The 22,925-nt window shown below is 43.4% G+C and overlaps 1 protein-coding gene across 29 annotated transcripts in view; it reads right to left on the bottom strand.

Annotated features, from left to right (window-relative positions):
- Nucleotides 1-22,925, bottom strand: part of PTPRM (protein tyrosine phosphatase receptor type M) — an 839,541-nt gene that overhangs the window by 46,735 nt on the left and 769,881 nt on the right. For all 29 annotated transcript variants that reach the window (XM_011525708.3, XM_047437715.1, XM_011525712.3 and 26 more), the window contains one exon: nucleotides 16,602-16,699. In XM_011525708.3, the coding sequence (XP_011524010.1) occupies nucleotides 16,602-16,699 (98 nt within the window). The remainder of the gene's footprint in view (nucleotides 1-16,601; nucleotides 16,700-22,925) is intronic.

Below are 22,925 nucleotides of genomic sequence, written 5' to 3'. Positions count from 1 at the left end.
TGTGTAAAGGCTCTATCTAAAACCAGTTACTGGATTTTTCTGTTTCTTTGGTCCTATCCTCCTGGGAGAGGCCCCAGTGGTTACTCATGTATTTATGTGGCCAGACAACCCTAAGCCTTCTAAGGCAGAGGAAGGGCTCAGGGAGTAGATTTGGAAAGTAGAGAAAGGAGAAAAGAATCCTGCCTTCAAGAAAGGACCTCATTTACTGCTTTTCAGCAAATTGTTCAAGAATAGGATATACCTGCTGTGCGCAAAACGGGAGAAAAACTGACTTTCAAGGGCTCGTGAGCAGAACAAGGAAGGCAGACTATTGCAGCTCTGAGACTGTCCCATATTGCGTCCAATGATGGTGCCGGGAAACTCCAGCTGTGCACACCCGAGCAGGTAGGAATGTGCTGGAACCACACTGTAAAACCGCTCAGGCTGTGATGCATCGGTCCCAGGTGCACTTGTCCATCTGCTACACATGCAGGCTCCCTGCCCTCTGAAGCACTTTTTAGATACAAAGGCAGGTGACCACCTGTATGTACCCCAAAGACTGTGGCAGACAAAGTTAGAGGTGACAGAGTGACACAACAGAGGCCCCAAGCCCAGGCCAGTAAAATGGCAAAGAGACAAGAAGTCCAGGCACAGATGTAAGTGAGGATTTTCCAGGGTCAGCCAATTATGGCAAAGCAGCAAGAGTGTCCATTGAAGGCTAGCGACAGGGCTCCGCAGGGGTGACCATGGAGGCAGGTGCCCAGGCACAGGTGTCTCCATAGGCTCAGCTAGACAATGTGAAAGAGCTGATCTGCACCCAGCTCGCAGTTACCTGGAGGAGCCAGGAGAGCGTGCTCAGAGCAGCACTTGTTATTCAGACCTGCAAATTTGCTTTGATCCTGTAATATCCTGCCACTGTGGCAGCATGAGAGATGGCTGACACAAAAGTGTCAGATGACTTATAGCACATAAAGAATTGTCTCTGAAGCCTGATTTGTATTTCATCGATATTTGAGTGAAAACGACTTTTGCTTTTTTTGTCTTTTTAAAGGGACATAATGGATTAGGCTGAATTACCAAGTATTTAATACAAAAGGATTAATTGGGTAGGCTAAATGTAGACACATTTCTGTCATTTCAAACAGGTGTAGTGACCTTCACTCACATCCTTAGTGAATATATTATACATATTTGTATGGCTTCAGATTCAAGTCTCTTCTTCCAATGTAGAAGAAATCAACAGAAGGAGGGCAGTACACAGAAATTCCCTTCGTATGCACTCAGTTATTTTGCAGCAGCTTACATGTTCCTTTGTAATTATTCTTCCACCTCTCCTGAAACAGTCACTCATACTTTCTCTGTGTCCAGCCTTTCGGGGTTCTGCTCACAGAAGCCTATGGTCTGGCAGGGAAGGCAACATGGCAGCTGAAGGTGTTTTGTTCCTTCTCGTGTACAACCTTATGTAATACCTCTATAATTGGGTTGTACATGTCTTGAAGGATCCTCTCTTTTATTCTCTGGCTTTTGCCTAAAGTAGGCGGAGAGGTCACCTGATGCCTGCACAGTCACTAGCTGCACGCATACCAGGGAGCAGAACCAGCAAGAGAGATGAACAGACTCCAAGGGGTTAAGGTTTCTAACACTGGCAACAGCAGAGACACAGGAGGCGTGAGAAACAGATAGGAAGATGATCCTGTCTTCCCCACAGGAAATTCATTCATTCATGGTGACAACTCACCAGAATTCAGAACAAGAGAGACCATGGTCTGCACTCAGAACAAACAGTGGCTTCCTGCTCCCAACAAAGCAAAGAACATTTCTGAAATGGAGATAGGGATGTGTGTGTGTGCATGTCCAAGTGTATGCATGTGTGTGTGTGTGTGTGTGTGTGTGCGTGTCATGTGCATACATTTGGGAAGAACCTCTGATCAGATATGGGGAATGTGAAAATTGTAAAAGAGATCTAGTCTGGTTACTCACGCAGGCAAATGTGTGTGTGTGTGGGGGGGGGAATAGCTAGCCTTAAACAAAAATGTGCATGTGTAAATATGTTGTGTATGTATGTATTTGCAGGAATACTATCAGAATAAAGTTTACAGAGGTTGGGGTTGGCATATGATATGAAGTTTTATATAAGAAACCTCATTACTCTAAGTTATAAAATGCAGAACTTAGTATTTAAAATACTGAATAAGCCTTCAATAAGATTGGAGAAAAAAGTTATATGGTTTTCTCCTTGCTTTAGTCTGCGAGTATGTGTTTCTTTTAGTCTCATATTTTTCAAAATCATTACCCAGTTTGTAGTCAATTAAGTGTTTCCTGGTTAAATGAAGTTGTTTTATAATTGTATATGTTTTTGCATCTCCTTTAAACCACAGTTTACCTTTAATTAAATGGATTTGCTGTCCAAATTGAATTGACGGATGTGAAACGATGATTCTCTATTGATTAAACACTTTGAGTAAAATAGCCATTTCGTTGCCTAAGGAGATCTTCCAGAGGTAACAGTCACACTTGCAATTATACAGAACACAACGGGGCATGCATAGATATCTTCATTAAACGATCGTGAGAGTCCTCCAAAGAAACCACATTCTCTCCAAGGACCCCCTCCCTACTGCAGGCAGGAACCCGCTGCGGCCCTGCTGATCACTAGGTAAAGACACGGAAATGTGCTCACCGGGTGCGACTGATTGTGGCAGTTGACAAATTGGGGGGATAGCTTTAAGTAATTTTGAGAACTTCTGAAAAGGATATATTTCTTCAAAAATCTTAGTTTACTGTAGTCAGATTAGATTATTTTCAAAAGAAGGTCTATAAATTAGAGAACAGACTGAATATCTTTTATGGTCTGCATAAATTAAAATACAGAAGGATCACTGACAGAATTTGTCTCACTGGTACCTGATCACATGGCAACATTCCATTCCAGATCCTCTACACAATTCATGTGAAAACAGTGCAGAGGACATGGGAGCGGAGGGCTCTCTCCCAAGGGAGTGACAGTCCTCATGTTTTTGTCCTGAATCTTTCCCCTTTAACAATCCACACTCAATCGTTTTCTGCTGTTGGTGGTATTCAGAGTGTACAGGAAGCATCAAGGACTCTGGAAGCATGTGGATTAAACTGGATCTGGAGTGCAGATGCTTTTGTTATTCAAATGGATCCCGTCACCAAAATGTAAACAGCAAACAGGAAAATATCTCTCATATAAACATGGAATTTTAGAGTTCATATGGATAATTCCCTTCATTCCAAGGTTGCAAAAAGTAAGGTGTGGGGTAAGAATGGGTTGGTTTTCAGTTCACCTAGAAACGCTCACAACACCCTATTCTCCTTGGAGTCACATTCCCCTGCCACTAGTACCTGGAGGATTTGGGCTATTGGCTGTCCTGGGATTCCACCTACCTGCATCCTGTAGCCGCCAACTGGAGTCTCACTTATATCTGCCCATCCTTACCTTCTCCCCAGAGAAGAGGTCACTCCCATTCCAGGCGAACACCTTTACCTATGTCCTTGATGCATCCCTAAAATAGCTACTTCCCTTTTCGTCCAGCTTCTCAGCCCATGGCCTTGTTCCTTACTACACTGGGAAAACCACTGTTACCAGGAGAGGGTGCCATCCTGAGTGTGTTTCTGTTTGGTTCAATTTATTTAAGTGTGTCCACGCCTGTCTCTGCTCTGCAGGCTCAGAGGAAAAGATGTCATCTCTTGTAAGGTTGAATGGAGGACCTGCACTCAGGGTCCCTTCCCTCCTGGCTCCCTGGCAAAGACTCCGTCCACTTCCCAAGATGTCCAGTCTCTCCCTCTCTTCTGATTCTTTTCCTTAACACATAACTACTGTCAAGGGTCTTTCACCTTATAAATATCCTTTGATCAGAAATGCTCCTCTGTTTACAGCTGCACTCCTCTCTTTTCCCTGCAGAGCTAAGCTTCTGTCAAGTCCACACTCAGTCTATGCATCCTCATTTGCTACTCCTGCCTCAACGCTGCAGGCTGGCTTCAGTGCTTGCCGTTTGTACTGAATGCATCATTTGGTCTGTCAACATCCATTTCATCCATTCATCCTTCCTAATGGATCCTTGACTTCCTTTTGGGGAATTACTTCTTCCCTATTGGGTGGCTTGTCAATTAGAGGCCCTGGACAGCGAGGGATGAGCACATGAACCAACCTTTGGGAGTCGGAGGTTCTATCCTTGTTATTAGAATCCTGAGCACAGTGACAAAGAGACCAGAGAGCTCACTGTCTTAGCATCAGCGCCTTGACTAGACTGTCTGGCTGTGAGACCCATTTGGCTCACTAGCCCTCTGGAGCTGTTACCTTCTTTCCTATCTTTTGTAAGCCTTACTCTTCACATCAACATTTTGAGCTTATAATATTCTTTTCCCTTTTCCTGAAATTAGCCAGAGTTGATTTCTGTTGCATGTAATCAAAGAACTCAGATAGGCCATCAGTCTGAAAACACTGAGGCAAAAGGTTGCCAGTAACCTTTTCCTTGTTAAGTCAGATGCTGATTGTTCTGCCTTTGGATGATCCACTCTGTCTCTGCAGTATCTCCAGTGTGGCCCTTTCCCCTTGTCACTTCCACACCCAAATCCTTTGGGGCTCTCTGTCATTCATGAGCTGAAGCCCAATTCCTGACGTGGTATATCCATGACAAGGCCTCAGTTCTCCCTAGAATCCCCATTCCCTATCTCCCCTGGTTCATACTGAATCCCTGCAGCTTCCCTCCAGGGTCCTGTGGTTGCCTCTGCCTGGAACACCTTCCCTCCCTCCTTTGCCAATTAATTTTCATTTGCTCTCCCACCTCCTGTACTCAGCACCAGGCACCCCTTGTTCTGAGATGCATTTATTGACAAATCCCTTCAACCTCCACTCAACTCCACAGCTAGATGAGGTGCCTCTTTCATGAACTTCCACAGCATGCTGTGAAACCTTTATCACGGAATTTCATCCCTTTGCTTGATGCCCCCTCCCTGTGTACAGGGACACACTTAATTTGTCTTAGCATCCCTGGCTTTCTGTGACTGCACATTGAGTGGTGTGAATGCAGCATATGCTTATGAACTGAAGGCATCCCCTTCTGTCTTGTCTGTGATTTTCCTCTGTCACTTTTCCCCTTTTCTTGTACCTTTAGTTTGAGAAGGCAATTACATCTTCTTTTCAGACTCCCAGTTACTCTTATGTCTACTCTATCACTAAAAACACACTCCCAACCATTATAATCACTGTCTAGACCCTGTTCCCTTCTAGGTGCTGCTTCATCTCTCTCCTGTGACTCGCTGCTCCAAGAACAAGCTACATTTGCATCTTTGCTGCACACTTAGCCACTGTTCTACTGCTGCTGGATTCCTGGTTCTATCATCCCATGGGAACTTGGTACGTACCAAAGACATCTCCAGTGCTAACGGGGGGCACTGTGGAATGGGGAGAGAGCATGGGCTTTGGAACTGGACAGACCAAAGTTTCAATTCTAGCTCTATGCCCTTGGCCAAATTATTTAACCACACCAAGCCTTACTTAGTTTAAAAATAGGAATCTTTAAATGTACTCAGGGTAGCTGTGATAAGAGCAATAGGGCTTGTGAAACATTTAGCAGGATGCCTGACTCAGTACATTCTTTCTCTCTACCTTGCTCTCTGATTCCTGTTTACCTGGCCTTTCTGTAGCTCGTGACCTGGTCGCTATCCCCTTCCTGTTGAAATGCTGTCTTCTCTTCGTTCTCATGATCTGGGTCTCTTTGTTCTCGCCCTATTCCTCTTGCTTTCCTTTTCCAGACTCCATCCCAGCTGTTCCTCCCGACTGCCCCCAGAAACAGATATTCTCCAGTGTTCTGTTGTGAGTCCTCCTCTTTTCTCTTTCCACTTTCTCCCAAGAACTCTGTTCTGTTGCAGTGGTTATCACTTTGCATTATACTTTTTTTTTTTTTAAGACGGAATCTCACTCTGTCACCCAGGCTGGAGTGCAATGGTGCGATCTAGGCTCACTGCAACCTCCGCCTCCTGGGTTCAAGCGATTCTCCTGCCTCAGCCTCCCAAGTAGCTGGGATTACAGGCACCCGCCACCACGCCCAGCTAATTTTTTGTGGTTTTAGTAGAGATGGGGTTTCACCATGTTGGCCAGGCTGGACTCAAACTCCTGACCTCAGGCAGTCCACCTGCCTCGGCCTCCCAAAGTGCTGGGATTACAGGTGTGAGCCACTGCGCCCAGCCGCATTATACTCTTTTTTGTTTGCCTTTTTGTCCCATAGTTTGTGCCATGTCTTTTCATCTTGATATCCTCAGTGCAGCCAAAGCCTAACACACAGTAGATGCTTGTGAATAAAGGGGGACGCTAATATTTCATAGTTTGTTTCTGTGTCTTCAGCTCACATCTCTCTCTTGAGCTTCCTGGAAAGCACCACATTATTGCTCATTCAGCTTCTTAAACTCAGCATGTCCAAGATGAAACACATTGCCTCTCCTTACACCTACTTTTATTTGGGGGTGTGGGGGTGGGCTGGAAAGAGATACCCATTCTTGGTTAATATCCTTTATAGCAACCCAAGTCACAGTGGTAGAAACCCTGGTTCATTCTCAAGTTCTCCTCCTTCCTTATCAGCACCACCTACCCACCATAACACCCAAACTGTATACTCCTCATAAGCTCCCAACACCTCTGCCCAAACTCAAGCCCACATCATCTTTCACCTAGAGCCTTGCTCTAACCTCCTAAACGTGTCTCCATACTCTTCCATAGCCTTTCTCAGCCTTTTCTTAATGGTCACCAAGATTGCTTTTCAATACCAATTAGAACACGATTCACTACCTCAATGCCTTCCATTAAAGTGAACAAACAAACACACACACTGCCCACTTGCTACCTCTCCTTCCTTCCTAGAAACACATTTCAAATCCTCATCAACAAGCCTGCAGTTAGCTTCCCGGCCTCAGAGTTCTTCCCTCATCAGCTGCATCAGGCAGGCCACTAGCTCTTTCTCCATCTTGCCATTTCCTCCCCTTCCTGTGCTTTCCCTTCCTTATGCTGCTGAAGTGGTTACTGTCTCACTCCTGCCATTTAAAATGCTTCCTCAGCAAAGACATGGAATCAACCCAGGTGTCCATCAATGGTAGGCTGGATAAAGAAAATGTGGTATATACACATTTTCTACATAGCCATAAAAAACGAAATCGGGCCGGGTGGGGTGGCTCACACCTGTAATCCCAGCACTTTGGGAGGCCAAGGCAGGTGGATCACAAGGTCAGGAGTTCAAGACCAGCCTGGCCAAGATGGTGAAACCCCATCTCTATTAAAAATACAAAAAGTTAGCCAGGCGTAGTGGTGGGTGCCTGTAATCCCAGCTACTTGGGAGGCTGAGGCAGAGAATTGCTTGAACCCAGGAGGCGGAGGTTGCAGTGAGCCAAGATCGTGCCACTGCACTCCAGCCTGGGTGACAGAGTGAGACTCCATCTCAAAAAACAAAACAAACAAACAAACAAACAAAAAAAACCAAACCAAAAAAAAAAAAAAGAAAAGAAAAAGAATGAAATCATGTCCTTTGGTACAACATGGGTACAGCTGGAGGCCATTATCCTAAGTGAATTAACTCAGAAACAAAACCAAATATACTATGTTCTCACTTGTAAGTGGGAGCTAAACGTTGGGTATACACGGCACAAAGATGGGAATAAACACTGGGGAATATAAAAGGGAGGAGAGAGGAAGGAGGGAAAGGGTTTAAAAACTACCTACTGGGGACTATGTTCACTGTTTGGTTGATGGGATCATTAGAAGCCCTAACCTCAGCACCACTAAATATACCCATTTAACAAACCTGCCCATGTGCCCCCTAAATCTAAAATAAAGACAAAATAAAATCCTTCCTCCTACTAAGGTCCAGCTCTTTACCACGTGCTCCGAGAAGACCTAGATTGCCACAGGCAGAATGAGTCCCTTTGTTGGTACTATCACATTCTGAACATGTATCACAGTTCATTGTTGATATACGGTTCTCAATGACCACAGGTGATATTCTTTGAGGACAAGTGAATTATAACTATCTTTGGATTATTAGTGTCATAGATACAGTAAGTACAGCACTAAATGTTGGGTTAAATTGTGCTGAGAAGGGATTAAAAAGCCTATCTTTGGGCTAATTTGTGAACATGACAAATTGAGCTCTTTGGTTGAACTTTTTACAGAGGGGAACTGAGGTTTTCAGGCAGAGAAAACCTCCAGGTTCACCAGGGCAGCCAGGGAACCATCTTTCCTGGAGGAGCTGGTGTTGAGGAGTCTGTAGAAGGCCTTTCTCCTGCTGCTGATAGCTCAGTATTCGTTAGTGCCTCCTTTCTTGGCTGATGTGCTGGGGGTAGTGGCGTGAAGCCTGGCAGTGTCTGGATGGGAATCATCACAGGCCACACTGCCAATCTCCTCTTTGACTTCTAGTTTTGTGTTAAAGTTACAGCAATTCTAGTTTAGGAATTGCTGCTATTTCCAGCAGAAACAGATAATTCATGACCTACAGAATTGAAGGAATTCAAGGCAAGGTGCAAACTCCACCATCTCTGACAACAGAGAGGCCGTCCCTGTGGCCAGATTTAGGGAAAGGTTCTTGACCAATTGCTTCTACTGGGCCTACCTGGAAGGACCCACAGCCTGGTGGTTGTGCACAGGAATGGCTGAGAAGGTGAGTTTGCAGAAGTGGAAACAGGCACAACAGATGCTCAATTTATTCTGTAATCCTTACAGTAATCCCGTGACACAGAAGGGTATTAGTGCATCATTCCCTATGCTTAACAGATGACGAATCTGGGGCTCAGAGATGTTGCAATGGGCATGGGAAGAGCCAAGGCCTTCTGATTCTCTGACTGACTTACTATAAATGAGGAAGGGCTAAAACTTATACTAAAGGACAGAATATGGCAAGTGACATACAGAGAGGATGCTGATGAGGGAGATAAAATAGCCAGTTGAATAATCAGGTCGGGTTTCCTTCTTAGAAAGGGTGGAATTTTCAATTAGTATTAAATGAAGGGCCCTGGTTAAGCAGGCATAAGGAGGAAGGCAAGGAGGTGCTGTCCCTGCAATGTCCCAGACAAAAGCCATTAGTCACATGTGGACATTTCAATTTAAATTAATACAAATGAAATAAACCTCAGAAGTCAATCTCTCAGTCACAATAACCACACTGAAAATACTCAGTAGACCCCTGCGACTAGAGGCTCTGCAGGCGACTGTGTAGACCTAGAGCATTCCAAACTGGCAGGGGTTTTCCTGGAGAGCTCCACTGTGCATGGGCCAGACAGCACCAAAAGCACAAGGAATGCAGTGCTGGGCGTGTGTGGCAAATGGCAAATACTTTGTCTGCCTGGCACTTCAAACACTTGTAAGAGAATGCTGGGAAATAAGCTTGCCGTAGACTAGAGCCACACTGTGAAGGCACAGAATAGAGGGATCTTGAGGTTTGGGCTTTGTTCTGGATTCGACAGGAATCACTGAAGGATTCTGAACAGATGAGTGGTGTGTCAGGAGCCAATGTTTATAAAAATTAATGCAGCACTGACACATGGAATGGATAGAAGATGGTGTTGTCTAAAAGACCACCAGGATGGCTGGACAGTAGAAAGGAGAGCTTTATGGGGGTTATCGGTTTGCAAGCTGGGAAGAGTCTCCAGCATGGACTGAAGGTGCTCTCTCTTCAGAAAGAAGGACAGGTTGGCTTTTATGCCTCACCAGGTCTGTATCACACAACAGAGTCATACATATCAGCAGGTTTGGGGGGAAAGCTATACATATTTATAAGGGGAGCTGAGCACATGTGCAATAGGTAAACATACATGTACCATACATCCCATGTTCACTTTGGGGTGGGGTTTTTACCATGAAAAGAAAATGGCATTTGGCTCTTTACATCAAAAGGTCAGCTATGGGACACAAAGACAGTCTGTATGCAGCCTCTATGAGCTGCCGAAATGGGCTCAAGATCTACAGCTGCTTATCAGGAAAGAGTGTTTTCAAGGCTGGTCCTCTGGCCAGTCAGAGTTGCAGTGGTCTGGGTTGTGACTCAGAGCTGTAGCTCCTATTGGTAGGGAGTTTGGCCATAGGAACTTAGAGGATTTGCCCCGACAGGCCCTGAACCTTCAACCTGTAGGTAACTCTGTTTCCTTCACCTTTCTGTCTTAGTTGATAATGGGGCATCCATTTTGGCCTCTGAGACCACAACAGCACAAGGTGACCACTGTGGATGCTGGGGTGACCAGTGTGAACACCAGGGTGACCAGTGGGGACGCTGCTACTGGGACTGATATGAAAGACTGTGAATTCCCAAGCTGCACTGGAGGCACCTTGAAAACAGGAGGCAGGTGTGCTGTTCACATGGTGTTTTTATGGCTTGACATTGGATTGGGCTGAGTACAAAATGAAATTTGTTTTCAAGCCTGAATGATAAGAATAGGTACTGGGGACCAGGAGTCTGAAGATGAATGGACAAGCTTAGTTTCTAAGGTGCTTGGTTTGTGCCAGTTGTGGGACACAGAGGTAGAGATGGCCAATGAGCAGTTAAATGCCCAGGGGTAACATGCAGGAGGGAGGTAAGGCTTATGTCAGCTTCATCCTATGATAGGCGAAAGGATGACAGTAGATTGAGATGAGGAGTGTTTGCTGAATGAGCATAAATTATTCAAAGGCTAAGACTGTAATTACACAGGTCACAAAAGATCAATCTTAAATATCAGTTTATGAAAAAGGACCTATGAAAGTAACAGTGAGTGCTCAAGACGGAAAACTGTCAGCAATGTCTATAAAAACAATTTCCCTCTTCCCTTTCTTATGAGTTTGATGTCTTGGAACAACTCAAGAGATTTTGTAGTAAAAACGATTACTAATATTTTTATTCTTATAATTAACCAGTATTTCCACACTTTTTATAAAAGGGCAACCTTGCCTCTCTCTTGCTTCCTCATTGATCCTGGGTCTGGTGGCTGTTGCACAAAAGAAGATGTTTTTTTCTTGGCTGTGAGAGGGGCACCTGGAATCTTAATATACCTTCCTTGTATGTGAATTAGAAAGTTGTTAGTTCTGACGTCTAGTGTTCATAGTAAACTTTTCCTTTCATGACTCTTTTAGTGACAAGTACTGTGAGAGGAATTTTAGGGCAGGCTCCTTGGGTGGAAAATATCCAAGAATCCATGTAGGTGGTTTCTTCCCATCCCCTACTGTGATAGAGGTCCACAGCTCTGGTCCCCACTTCTCTCAGCTCCAAAACATTTTATCTTCTGTTATCAGAACTATTCAGAGTGACTCAACAATAATTTTCCTAAGTGACTGTGAGACCTCATTTGGATTTTTAATAAACAGTCACATTCTAATGAGGTCTTCATAAAACTGACTAAATATGTTTAGAAATAATTAGCTTAAATTACCGGTGTAAAAAGTCTCCTTTGGGAGTCCTGCAGATTTGGTTATAAGACTTCTGGCAGATGGAACAGCTCAATACCACAACAGAGTTTTTGAATCTCCACACAAACGGTGTAAATGGGAATGCCTGGGAAACAGGCGACTGGATTAAGAAACTAAATGTCCCTCAGGTGGGTTCATTAAAGAGGGAAAATAATCACAACACGTTCCAGCGCCATTTCAATGCCAGGTGTGCAGCCGGTGGCAGGTGCCAGGAAAACTGACAAGGGTCTCTTCCCAGAACACGTGGGCTAAAAGGGGAGGCATGGTGGTGACAAGGAAGTCTTAGATAATGACAGGTCCTGTCAGATGTACCGGGGACCCCGCTGGAGGGAAGTGCAGCATCTATGTCTTCTGCACCAGGTGCTGCGACAGGAAAGGTCTCCTGGCGGCTCCAACACCAGCAATTAGGGCCGCCTAATGCAGAGCGCTTCAGGGCAAAATGGGGGGAAGCAGGTCCCCAGCTCTGCCTTAATGAATCGGCAGCAAGTCTGTGTAAACAAACACGCATCCGCCTAGCTCATGCTTAATGCATGAAGGACGCACTATGTGCGGTACACATGTTAAGTAGGTAGCTATTGCCCTTAAAAACCATGTCATTTTGATTTCTTGGGTGGTTTGTTGTTGTTGTTTTTAAGCTAAAAATGGAGGAGCTATCTGTAAACAAATGTGCAGGATTAACAATGGGAAACAGCCTGGAACAAGGAGAGTGCTTTTCCCATGAGGGAACATGACCTCTTGTCAAAACCCCCAAATCATGCCAGACATTTCAAGGACAGATGCCATAATTTCATTACTAAAGTCAGGCCCATCCAAGGGGCTGATGGCAATGAGGTGGGGCCTCTTCAGAGCTTACCCGTGTCCCCACAAACCTGGTAAGGATTTGGAAGAAATTTTTTTTTTTAATAACCTTACCAGACCTGAAATGGTTGAGTTACTTTAAATCTACGGACTTAGATTTATGGGTAAACCAGAAACCTAGTTACCACCACCCACTTCAGCCACACCTTATTGGAAACAAAATTTCCATGGTTATTTGTCAGAAGGAATAGTTGCTGTCATAAAAATCACCAGTGACTACCCTGGATGTGACGGGTCCAGGTGCCTGATGGAAGGAACAGCGACCACCACTGCATAGCATTTTCATTCCTTTTCTAAACCCAGGTCGCTCTGAATGAAACCTGGCTCCCTGAAAATTGTGCCATGTCTCAGACACAGTGGGCTTTAGTGTGTAATTATTATTTTTTGCTGCAGTAATTTTACAGCACAATTTTCTTTTGACTTTTCAACCAAAGACTATGCTGTCCTCATCTTTCCTTAAAGTAAAAGGCTGTATCATACAAAATCAGCTTAACCTTTTAAGCCACTGAGTCCAGACACAGTGGTGTCCTTTGGAATTCCAATTAAGCAAAAAATACATGTGCCTTTATTTTTAAAAATCCAGTAATAGTTGTTATTTAGCAATTATCTACTTTTCAAAATAATTTACTGAGGACTCTTCCTGTAAGCGAGCTCCAGTGCAAATATTGAACGTGTGCACGGGTGCACAACTTTCTGGGAGTGCTGGGATTGTGAAAGGAAGGCACCCGAGAGTGGGCTCCAGGTACCTCTTTCTCCCCATCACATGTGGGTGGTCAGCAAGGATGTGTGAAGTAAATGAAGGAGTCAGATGGGACTATACCTCTCAGGGGAAGAAACACAAGCACATGAAAGCAGATGAAATGTTTAGGCTACATGAGGTGGCTCTGGTGTGCTCCGTGACACTATGGCGAGGTACTCTCTTTATTCACCTTGCTGGGCATTTGCTCAGGGCCCTGGGCCTGGAGGGAGAGGCTGCTGAGCAAGGCCATCTCTTCCCTTCAAGGAACTTGCTTTCCAGTGGAGTTGGCCTTTTTTTTTTCAATAGTCATTAATGTTTTCATAGTAAAAGTAGGTAGATTTGGTGTGCGGAACAAAAAGGGTCTTTTTCTTCAGTCTTAGGTTTGTTGGTGGAAACCTACGGTTACACTAATAGCTGTATTATTGAGTCCTCGGAATGGGCAGGAACTTCTCTAACCTCCTGACATGTGGAAACTCACTGAATCTTTACGAGAACCCCATTAAGCAGGCTGTTATGGACTGAATATTTGTGTACCCCCAAAACTCAAATGGTGAAGCCCTAAACCCCAAGTGTGACTGTATTTGGAGACAGGCCTCCAAGGAGATAATGATGGTTAAATGAGGTCATTAAGGTGGGGCCCTCACCCAATAGGATTCGTGTCCTTGTAAGAAGAGACACCACAGAGCGTGCGCTCTCTCTGACACGTGAGGTTGCCGCAAGAAGGTGGCCACATGAAAGCCAGGAGGAGGGCCTGCACCAGAAGCAGAATCCTGCCAGACCCGGATTGGGACTTTCCAGCCTCCAGAACAGGAAGATAGTACATGTCTGTTGTGTAAGCCTCCTGGCTTGTGGCATTTGGTTATGGCAGCCCAACCAGGTGGACACACAGTACTGCTAGTTTCCTCTTTCCAGAGAAAGGTCTGTGGAAGGAGAGGCCCAGCACCCTCTTCTAGGCCGGGCTGGTGGTCCTCCCTGCCTCAGTAGCCTCCTCACCAGCTCACCTGCACTCCCATGCTGGCTCCCGGCAGAGACATCATTGAAAGAAAGAAATGGTTTCTATACTTTTAGTATATAAAATATTGCTCTGGAAGTGTTTAAACTTTGCATAATAGCCCCATAGTACCTCCCCCCTTGTCTGGTCACTTATTATACCCTTTGTAATACAGATAATTTTACGTAAATCTTACTATCATACATTTTCCTATCCTATTCCTTAATATGTTGGGCTTTTGGTGTCTTACATCTGGCCTGCTTGGACCTACTGGTCTATTCATCTCTTCCTATCTATGTGTGGCACCTATAATTTTACCTTTTACTGTAGTCTTGTCTGGTTTTGATATTGAGGTTATACTAACCTCTTAAAATGAAATGGGGGAACAAGTTTTCTTTTCTGTTCTCTTAGAATAATTTTTATAAAATGTATATAATTTATGTATTTTTATATATTTATAAAATGTTATATATTTTTAACATTTACAACATTTGAATTATCTGTTCCTTGAATATTTAGTACCTATAAATACACTGGTACATTTCCATGCGTCAATTTTTAACCAGAATTCGAGTTTAAGATAATTATTATCTACTCAGAATTTCTGTTTCTTTTTGAGTCAGTTTTGGAAAGTCATATTTTTCTAGAAAATTACCTAATTCATCAAATATATTGTTATTCATATTATTCTATTGCAGTACAAAAAAAATCTGCTATTGGCTATATGTGGTTTTTCTCTATTTATTTCTGATCTGTTGCCAGAGGTCCATGTTATTAACCTTTTCACAAAACCAGCTTTTTATTTTGTTGAACTTTGTTATTGCTTCTGTGCTGTTTAGTTAATAAATTTCTATTCATGTTTATTATTTCCTTTTTTTTTTCTTTGGTTTTGCTCTGTTCTTCATCTATCTTCTTGAATTAGATGCTTAGTTGGTATTTCTTCTTTTCTAATAACAACATTTAAAAACATGTATTTCCTTCTCTGGTACCATGTTATTTGCATGTGACAACTTTAACACTATCATGATACTTTATGATTCACAGTTCTAATTATTTTCTGATTTTATTAGGTGTTTACTTTGACCCTGGAGTTGGCCGAAGTGCTTTACCCCCACAGATCCTACCTAAGTGAAAATGGTGTAACTTCCTTGCCAATTCCCTGGGCTGGCTGGTGCTCCTCTCCCTTCTCCCTCCTCCCTCTCCCTACCTCCACTTCCCCAGTTTGCCCTTTCTCTGAGGGTCTACTGTTTGTGGGTTTTGGTTCTGTGTGGCAGTCAACATCTAAATTCTTAGCATTGTACGTGTCCACATTATTTCCTGCCCTCAGTGGGCTTTAAAACCCGGGATCCAAGATCACAAAGACTGGTGCTGCCCACCCTCCCCCAACACTCACACAGAACCCCCTGCCCAGCCTCCTAAGGGTGCATGCAAGCGCTACACTCCCTAGGATCTCTAGTCCTCACTTTATTTCTGGTCTGTAGTAGCTGTCTTTATTAAGGGCTAAGCTAAACATTTAAAATATATATATTTGCATATGCATGTGATATACATATAAACATATTAAAATACATATTTATATTTTTATCTAGAATTTCCAGATGTCTGTAGGGGGATTTTCAGGTTAATGTGCCATTTTTGCTAGATATATATATATATATATATATATATACACACACACACACACACATATATATATCTCCTACTTATATTGTGTGTATGTATATATATATATATCCTACTTACTGAATATTCTCATTATGAGAGAATTGTGATGTCTTTCTTCTTCCTGGTTTGTGCCTCCTGAAACCTGAGAATCTTAAGAGACAAACCCTTTATGGCTCCTGTCTCACTGTTTCAATTCTAGGATAACCTCTAGGCTGCCTTTGCTGAGGGCAAATCTCATGATGCCAACTTCTCTTCAGTTAGCACAACCATGGAATTCAACCTACTGTAAAAAAGGCAACTGCACGCTGTGTGTTTGCTCATTTTAAAATTTCACTTTGGAAATAATCCTATAGCATACTACTACTGAGATTACAACTATGTAAAAGTTTCCTGGTTAAATAAAAGCACTGCTCATAAACAGTTACTACGGAGAAGGTAGTACAAGACCTTCAGAAAGATGATGCTTTCCATTCCACAGGTTTGGAAACTGAGACACAGGAAAGGCCAATTTAAGCAAGAGAAGATGCTGGAATTCTAATCTAAGGATTGAATCTAGAGCTGCACACTGTTTTTAGAGCCAATTTTGGGAGTTTGGGAAGGTAGTCATGTCTAATGCAGCACCCATTGAGTTTTGACACTCAACAATCAGCATTCATGCTTAGAGGTATTTTTGTGCTCTCAATATGGCCCGATAACAACTGCTTTTAAATCTTGAGTGCCTTTCCTGTCTGTTGCTATCGCAACAAATGAAAGCAATTCAGGCTATGTTTACTGATAATTTATAAGCAAGTGCAGCAAGCAATAGGAGGAGCTGGAGTAGTTAATGTTTTGGGGAGTACACATAATAGTTCAAAAGCTTGCCTCATGCCTTACTTTCTGTTACCAACTAAGCAAGGAACAAAATGGCCATTTGCAGCAGACGGTCCACTCACCCTTCCCACTTCCACAAGATTGGTCACCATGATGATACTTGCAGTGTTTTCGTGCCACACCATCCTCCAGAAGTCATAGATGGTTTCCTGCATTGGCCCTGCAGCAAAACACAACAGAAACTTTTTGTTTTTGTTGTAAGTTTCAACTGGAAAATTTCCGGGGCTTACAAATACATCTATTAATACCCACATGCAGTTCCCTCACTTGTACAGATGGACACAGGTCTCTAGTGTCAATGCAAAAAGATACTCTTTCTAAAACTGCACCTATAGAAATATCAAATTTGTCATTTGTCGCTGAATTTTCTCATGTCATCAAACATCTGCCTTTGAGCTCTTTTTACCCTTCTTAAACTACTACCGTGAAAGAAAGTTATTTCTCCATCATTTAGCTATTATCTCCATAGTACTCAAGAGTGAAATTTTAAAAAATAGATAACATTACTCTTTCTGCTAACAATTAGCAGATATCCCAGGGAAGTGGTATATAGAATGAAATGAGCCTCTATAGGAAAAATGGCCTCTTCTTGTTTCTAATATTTTTCTTATTCTGTGCTATCTGTCAAATTAATCCATTTTTTTTTCTGCTTGACTTTCTAAAGTAAGAGAGAGAAGTTAAGAGTTTTAAGCAGTTGCACTTCCTCTCACTGAACATAAAGATTCCTGGCAGAACATAAATAGCCATCTACTTCCTTAGCTCTTGGGATCTGAGCATTAAAAAGCTCTTTCCTATGGCTGGAAAAATATATATTACAAAAGGCCAGTGCTACAGAGAGAATCAGGTAAAGAAAGTTGGAATTTAAAATTTCTTTTAATCCAGATTTTAAAAAAACCCAAACTCGACTTTGTGTCCATGCATACTTGAGGGTATAAATGTAAGCGTAGAAATCTTTATAAGACATGTAGAAAGGCAAGGAAATGAGAGAAATGCAACTTCAAAGGCTTGGAGAGTCACATGATATATGTGAAATCATAAAAATGTTCAGGCACATCCAGGACCAGAACCCAATTGTACTAGGTATCTTGACATTTCAGATTGCTGGAGCTGGAGCTCAAATATTTGAATTTGAGATTTGCTTCTGCCTTTTAACTGGCTGTGTGATTAGGGGCAAGTTACTTAGCCTCTATGAGTTTCAATGTCTTCTTTCTTTATATACTGATCACAGTAACACCTCTCAAAGTTATTTTGAGGATTCTTGGAATTAATGTATACTCAGGCATTTTATAAACAACAAAGCAATAGAAAGAAAACAAGATGCATTTAACGATGTTTATTAATAGCTGTCCTTTTGCAGCAGCCTGGACACTGAATAATAGTGACACACCCAAGGGGCCCTTCAGTCACTCCCCATCCCTCTTGACCAATTAGCAATCGGTTCTTGTGTAATGTTTCTTCTCCTTCCTCCCTGTCCAGGCCTCCTTCCTTTCTCTCCACAACACAAATTCCTATCATTTCTCCCTTGCCGCTTCTGACTACACTGTTACCCTCCCCATAAAAGCTGACTTGCTCTCCTGATGTCTCTGCATCTAATCCCTTTGGGGAAGGGACCATGCACTCTGCCTCCCACAAAGCTCCACCAGCCATTTTGGCCACGTCCCTTGGCATGTGCGTGCCATTCTCCTGATGTAGAGGCTGAAGATTTCAGTGACTTTAATCTAAGGTTACAGAGGGGACAAGTAAACATCGGATTCCATCAATCACTACAGTTCTGGCTTGCAGAGAGGTACATTCATTGTGTACTTAACAGCTTGTTACTTATTCACAAGGGGAAAAAGAAGCAGTGAGTCCTTCTTTGCGCAAACAGCCCAATGTGACCCCTGAATCAAAGGGGGGGGGGCTTCACTAGGTACACAGGGCTGTGCCACCTACTCAGAAACTTCCAGAAATAGTTCTGATGACAATGGCTCTAGTGGATGAATCAGAGGTCCCAGCATCATGGACAGCTTGTGCCTGCAGGAAGAGCAAAGCCACTTCCCTTGTCAGGGCCCAACAGGGGTCTTCTCATAGGCACTCTAGGCTAGGGGCCCCATTCTGCCTCCAGCATATTCCTCACTCACCCCTTCTTGCCAGCCGACATTCTGGGATTGCTCGGTGTAAGACCCCTCCCGGAGGGGAACTCAGCCTTCTTCGTTTGCTGCTGTTTTCTTAGTGCCCTAGGAAATGCCTGGCACATAGCAGGAACCCAGTGAATCAATGAATGGATGGTAAGTCTGTATGCATGTGTGTAAACCATATTATTATGACAGTGTTATGTTAAACCCATACTAGGTACTAAGTCAAATTAAGACATGATGTTTGTATGATTCCCTTTCTCGACTTACATTTCTAAGATTATCTGGAGAAGCTTGAAAACACAGCACCTTTCCTCCTTTTCAATTCATGGAAAGGTGACATCTTCTGCAAGGATTTCTTCAGAAGGAGCATAATTATCACTGTCCTCACAGCACAGCCGGAATTAAACCACTGCTCCCAAGCACTATACAGATCACTCCTCTCAGTTTCCCCACCCAAGGCTCTGCTTTCAGCTTAGCTCAGTCCATCACCCTAGGTAACCACAGTACAATCCTAGCTTCCCAGTGACTGTTCTCTACGGGAGGCAATGTTTCTCAACTCTAGCTGCTTATTAAAATTACTGTGGAGATTTTTTTAAATTCTCAGGTCCTAACCCAAGAGACTCTGACTGAACTGGGTTGGGGTGGAGGTGGGTCTGGGTGTGTTTTCAGATCTCTCCTGATCTATAGCATCAAGGACATCGGCTTCGTCTTCCAGTATAACCATCAGGTGCTCTCCTATGGAGTTGTAACTGTGAAACACCAAAGATTTGTTTGTTCTGAATCTCCTGACTAGTCTAACCTTGCCTGCAAGCTCTGTGAATCATGGAATCCTGTTTTGCTTGGATGTAGAAGGAACTCCATTCATAACATGTCATCTAGGAACATGACCATGCCACCTCACCTCTGCGGCTGGGCATCAGTTAAGATGGCCTGGGTTTTTACATGTTTACATAATGAAATTCGCATTGTCTTTAAAATAAAGGGTGTTTATAAGCACTAGCAGCTCACTTGGCTGATAATATACACTTAGTTTTTGTGATTTTCTTATCCATTGACCTACGCTAAAAAAAGATTAGGATACAAAAATAAACTAGGTGAAATTCTTTTCAATGCTAAAATTAGATATGTGGATCCAGAAGAACAAAAAGAATTCGGTGTTAAAATCTAAAAATGAAATTGAACACAAAGATTATTCTAAATAGATCCCAGAAAGAAAAAAAAAGTACAGGCAGAGACATCTCCCTGCAGTGCAGCTGGCCTCGCTTTCTCCTGTCTCCGCTCTCCTGCAGGCGCGGGGCGCTGTGCAGCCAACACTTGGCGGCCGTTCCTTCTGCCACACGCATGGCTCCCTCCCTGGCCTGGTCACTGTGGTGGCTCTACAGTAAAATTGCTCAGGGGTGGGCACTGGTGATTCGTGGCTGATGATTCCAGGCATTTTTCCAAATGTTCATTCAAATCCTGTTTTTTGTGGGGTTTTTTTTTTGAGGGTAGAAAATAGGGAAGGTGCCCAAATAAGGTTTTTAATGCAGAATGTATCAATCCTGTTTTTTCTTTTCTCTTCCACATATTTCAAATCATTTCCCAAGATCTCAAGTATTACTCAGCTACCTGTCTCCTGGCAAAATCAGAACATACCCTCCAGGCCAGGGGAGGGGTGGACTTTACTGTCACCAAGAGCTACTCCATTTGGATTCAGCAGCTCCTGGTGGGGTCTGAGTGACCACGACCATCATGAGCCAACATCACAAGTCCAAAGATGTGAGCCTGGTACACAGGGAGGCTCCTCTTAGCACCCATGCCCTTGAAGGACCTAAAGACAGGGGGAACAGCATGGGAGGTCAGTAAGCCTTTGCCTTTGACCTCTGACTCCCAAGATCACTGTGGATTGCTCACAGAGTGGACAAACAAACAAACTCCCAAGATTTTTCAGAGCAAGGAGCTCTGAAAAGCCTCCCTCTCTCAAGGTGTGAACAGATGTGTTTGCAAGACAGGGCATTTGATTTCCGCAGTTTCTGGCTGGGGGGGAGCCACTGCAATTGCTGTGGTGGTGCGTTTACAGATGTTTGCACAATAGGCAACACGGTTAATCTCAGCAGTTGTCCCCCTGTGGGAAATCTGAAAGGTAACATCTAGAAATTTCTATAATATCAGGCCAGTAATACATTCCGTCTCCTCCAGCTGGCAGGCACACAGAGACCTCTACTGAGAAGGAAAGGTGCAGGGGGCCATTCCTGCCACCACCAAGCCCCAAAGGGAAAAAAAAGGGGGCGGAACGTTTTTTTTTTTCAATAAAAAACATTAACCTTTAACAAGCAATGAAAAGCATTAATGAAAGACATTCAAGGATGGGCTTTATTGTATAAGATGAGTTCTCTAGTTCATGGGAAGTGAGAGATATCAAAAATCATCGTTTCAACAATGTATAATATTCAGGTGATGGGTGCCCTAGAAGCCCACACTTCACCACTAAGCAATATATCCACGTAACACAACTGCACTTGTACCCCTACATCTATAAAAATGATCATTTTCAAACCTTGATGACTTGTACCCCTGCTTTTCACATTTGAATTTCTATACACTATGTTTTCTACATTAACTAGAGCTGCTGAGAAGTCAAGGTCCCTTAAGCTCACAGTGGCATTTTCGAGTTTTTTGAAGTAAAGAAAGATAATATAAGTACAAATTGGCATTCCATCATAAACAGAATAATACCTAATGTCCCTTAAACACTTACTGTTTCCCAGGTCCTGTTTGAAGTAGTTTACATGTACTATTGCATTAAATTTAGAAAACACCATCCTATGAAATAGGTCCTATTGCTCACCCCCATTTTACTGATGGAGACTGAGGCACTGGGAAGTCAAACAAGCTGTCTAAGGTCACACAGCTAGTGAGCTATAGGGCTGAGTTTTGAACCAGAAGTCTGACTGCATTACATCATACCGCCTCATTTGAACATCGGAAGCAACTCAGAAGGGCTCTACCAGACAGGTGTGTACCACACAGTCCTCACAATCCCGGCAAGAAGAAAACAGGAGAGAACCCATATTAACCACACTGAAACCACCTCTTTAAAGGTGTTTTTTTTTTAAGCATTACAATTTTAATGTAATGACATAGAACCTTGTATCTTTCTAGGTTTTCATTTTTTTTAATTTTTTTCCATATATATATATATATTTTTAAATTATACTTTAAGTTCTAGGGTACATGATCTCAGGTCACTTCCCTCCTTTAACTACTCCAATCCAAGGGCCTCCCACTGATACAGAATCAAATTCAGCTTCACAAGCACAGCCAGCCCCCAAGCGTCTGTGCTTACCCGGTAGGACTACTTCAAGAGCACAGCACACCCTGTTTCCTCCACTCCATTTCTGTCCCCCTCCAAACCCCAGCCACCATGACAACTCACCTATTTACCAAGTGGATGAATACAACACCCCAAACCCACATGGGGCCTCCCCTGAATCCGTTCCCTATCCCTCAGCCAGGGCTCATCTATGAAGACTGTAAACCCCACATGTCATTTTCCTGCATAAATCCTCCCACAGCTTTCCGCTGCTCTCAGAGTAAGCCCTAAATTCTTTAATAAGGCAAATGCGGTCCCACACAGTCTGTGCCTGGACTGTGTCAGGGCACCTGCCCCTCCCTGACCATCTATCTCCCTCACGCTCCTTCCCAGCGTCCTCCCGCAAGACCCCCCTCTGCTGATGCGTCACTTAAAGCCTGCACATCTCCTTGCTGGTTTCAGCTGAGCAGTCCAAAAGTCACTTCCTCAGGTCACTTTTCCAAGACCCAAGTGGAGGCTCCCTGTTTCTTCATGATGTTTAAAGTGAGTTGTGCTGCCAGTGTGTTTTCCATGCACATTTTCCTAACGTGGCCTCATGCCTAACTTGCTTTGTTCGTTTATACCACTGTCCTGGCCCCAGTGGGTATGAGTGGCCACCCCTGCGTGCAGCAGTTAAGCACTCAGCCTAGTGTTAAATGCCAGGCATTCTGTGAGGTATAGTAGAGATGTAAAGGTGAGTAATACATACATGGTCTCCACCATCCAGAAGCTTGAAATTTTCTGAGGTAGAGATAAGATAAGAACAGCCCACACTCTCATGTAAAGTACAGTAAGGCAAACATCCTGGGACACTTAAACCTCAACTGATGTAATTCCAGCTACTCAGAGGCAGAGATGGGAGGATTGCTTGAGCCCAGGAGTTTGAGACCAGTCTGTGCAACATACCTGTCTCAAAAAATTGAAAAAAACCTCCTCAA

The sequence above is a fragment of the Homo sapiens genome, chromosome 18, assembly GCF_000001405.40.
Source record: "Homo sapiens chromosome 18, GRCh38.p14 Primary Assembly".
NCBI lineage: Eukaryota > Metazoa > Chordata > Mammalia > Primates > Hominidae > Homo > Homo sapiens.
The sequence above is the reverse complement of the archived record's forward strand: the minus strand, read 5'-3'. Positions and strand labels throughout refer to the sequence as shown.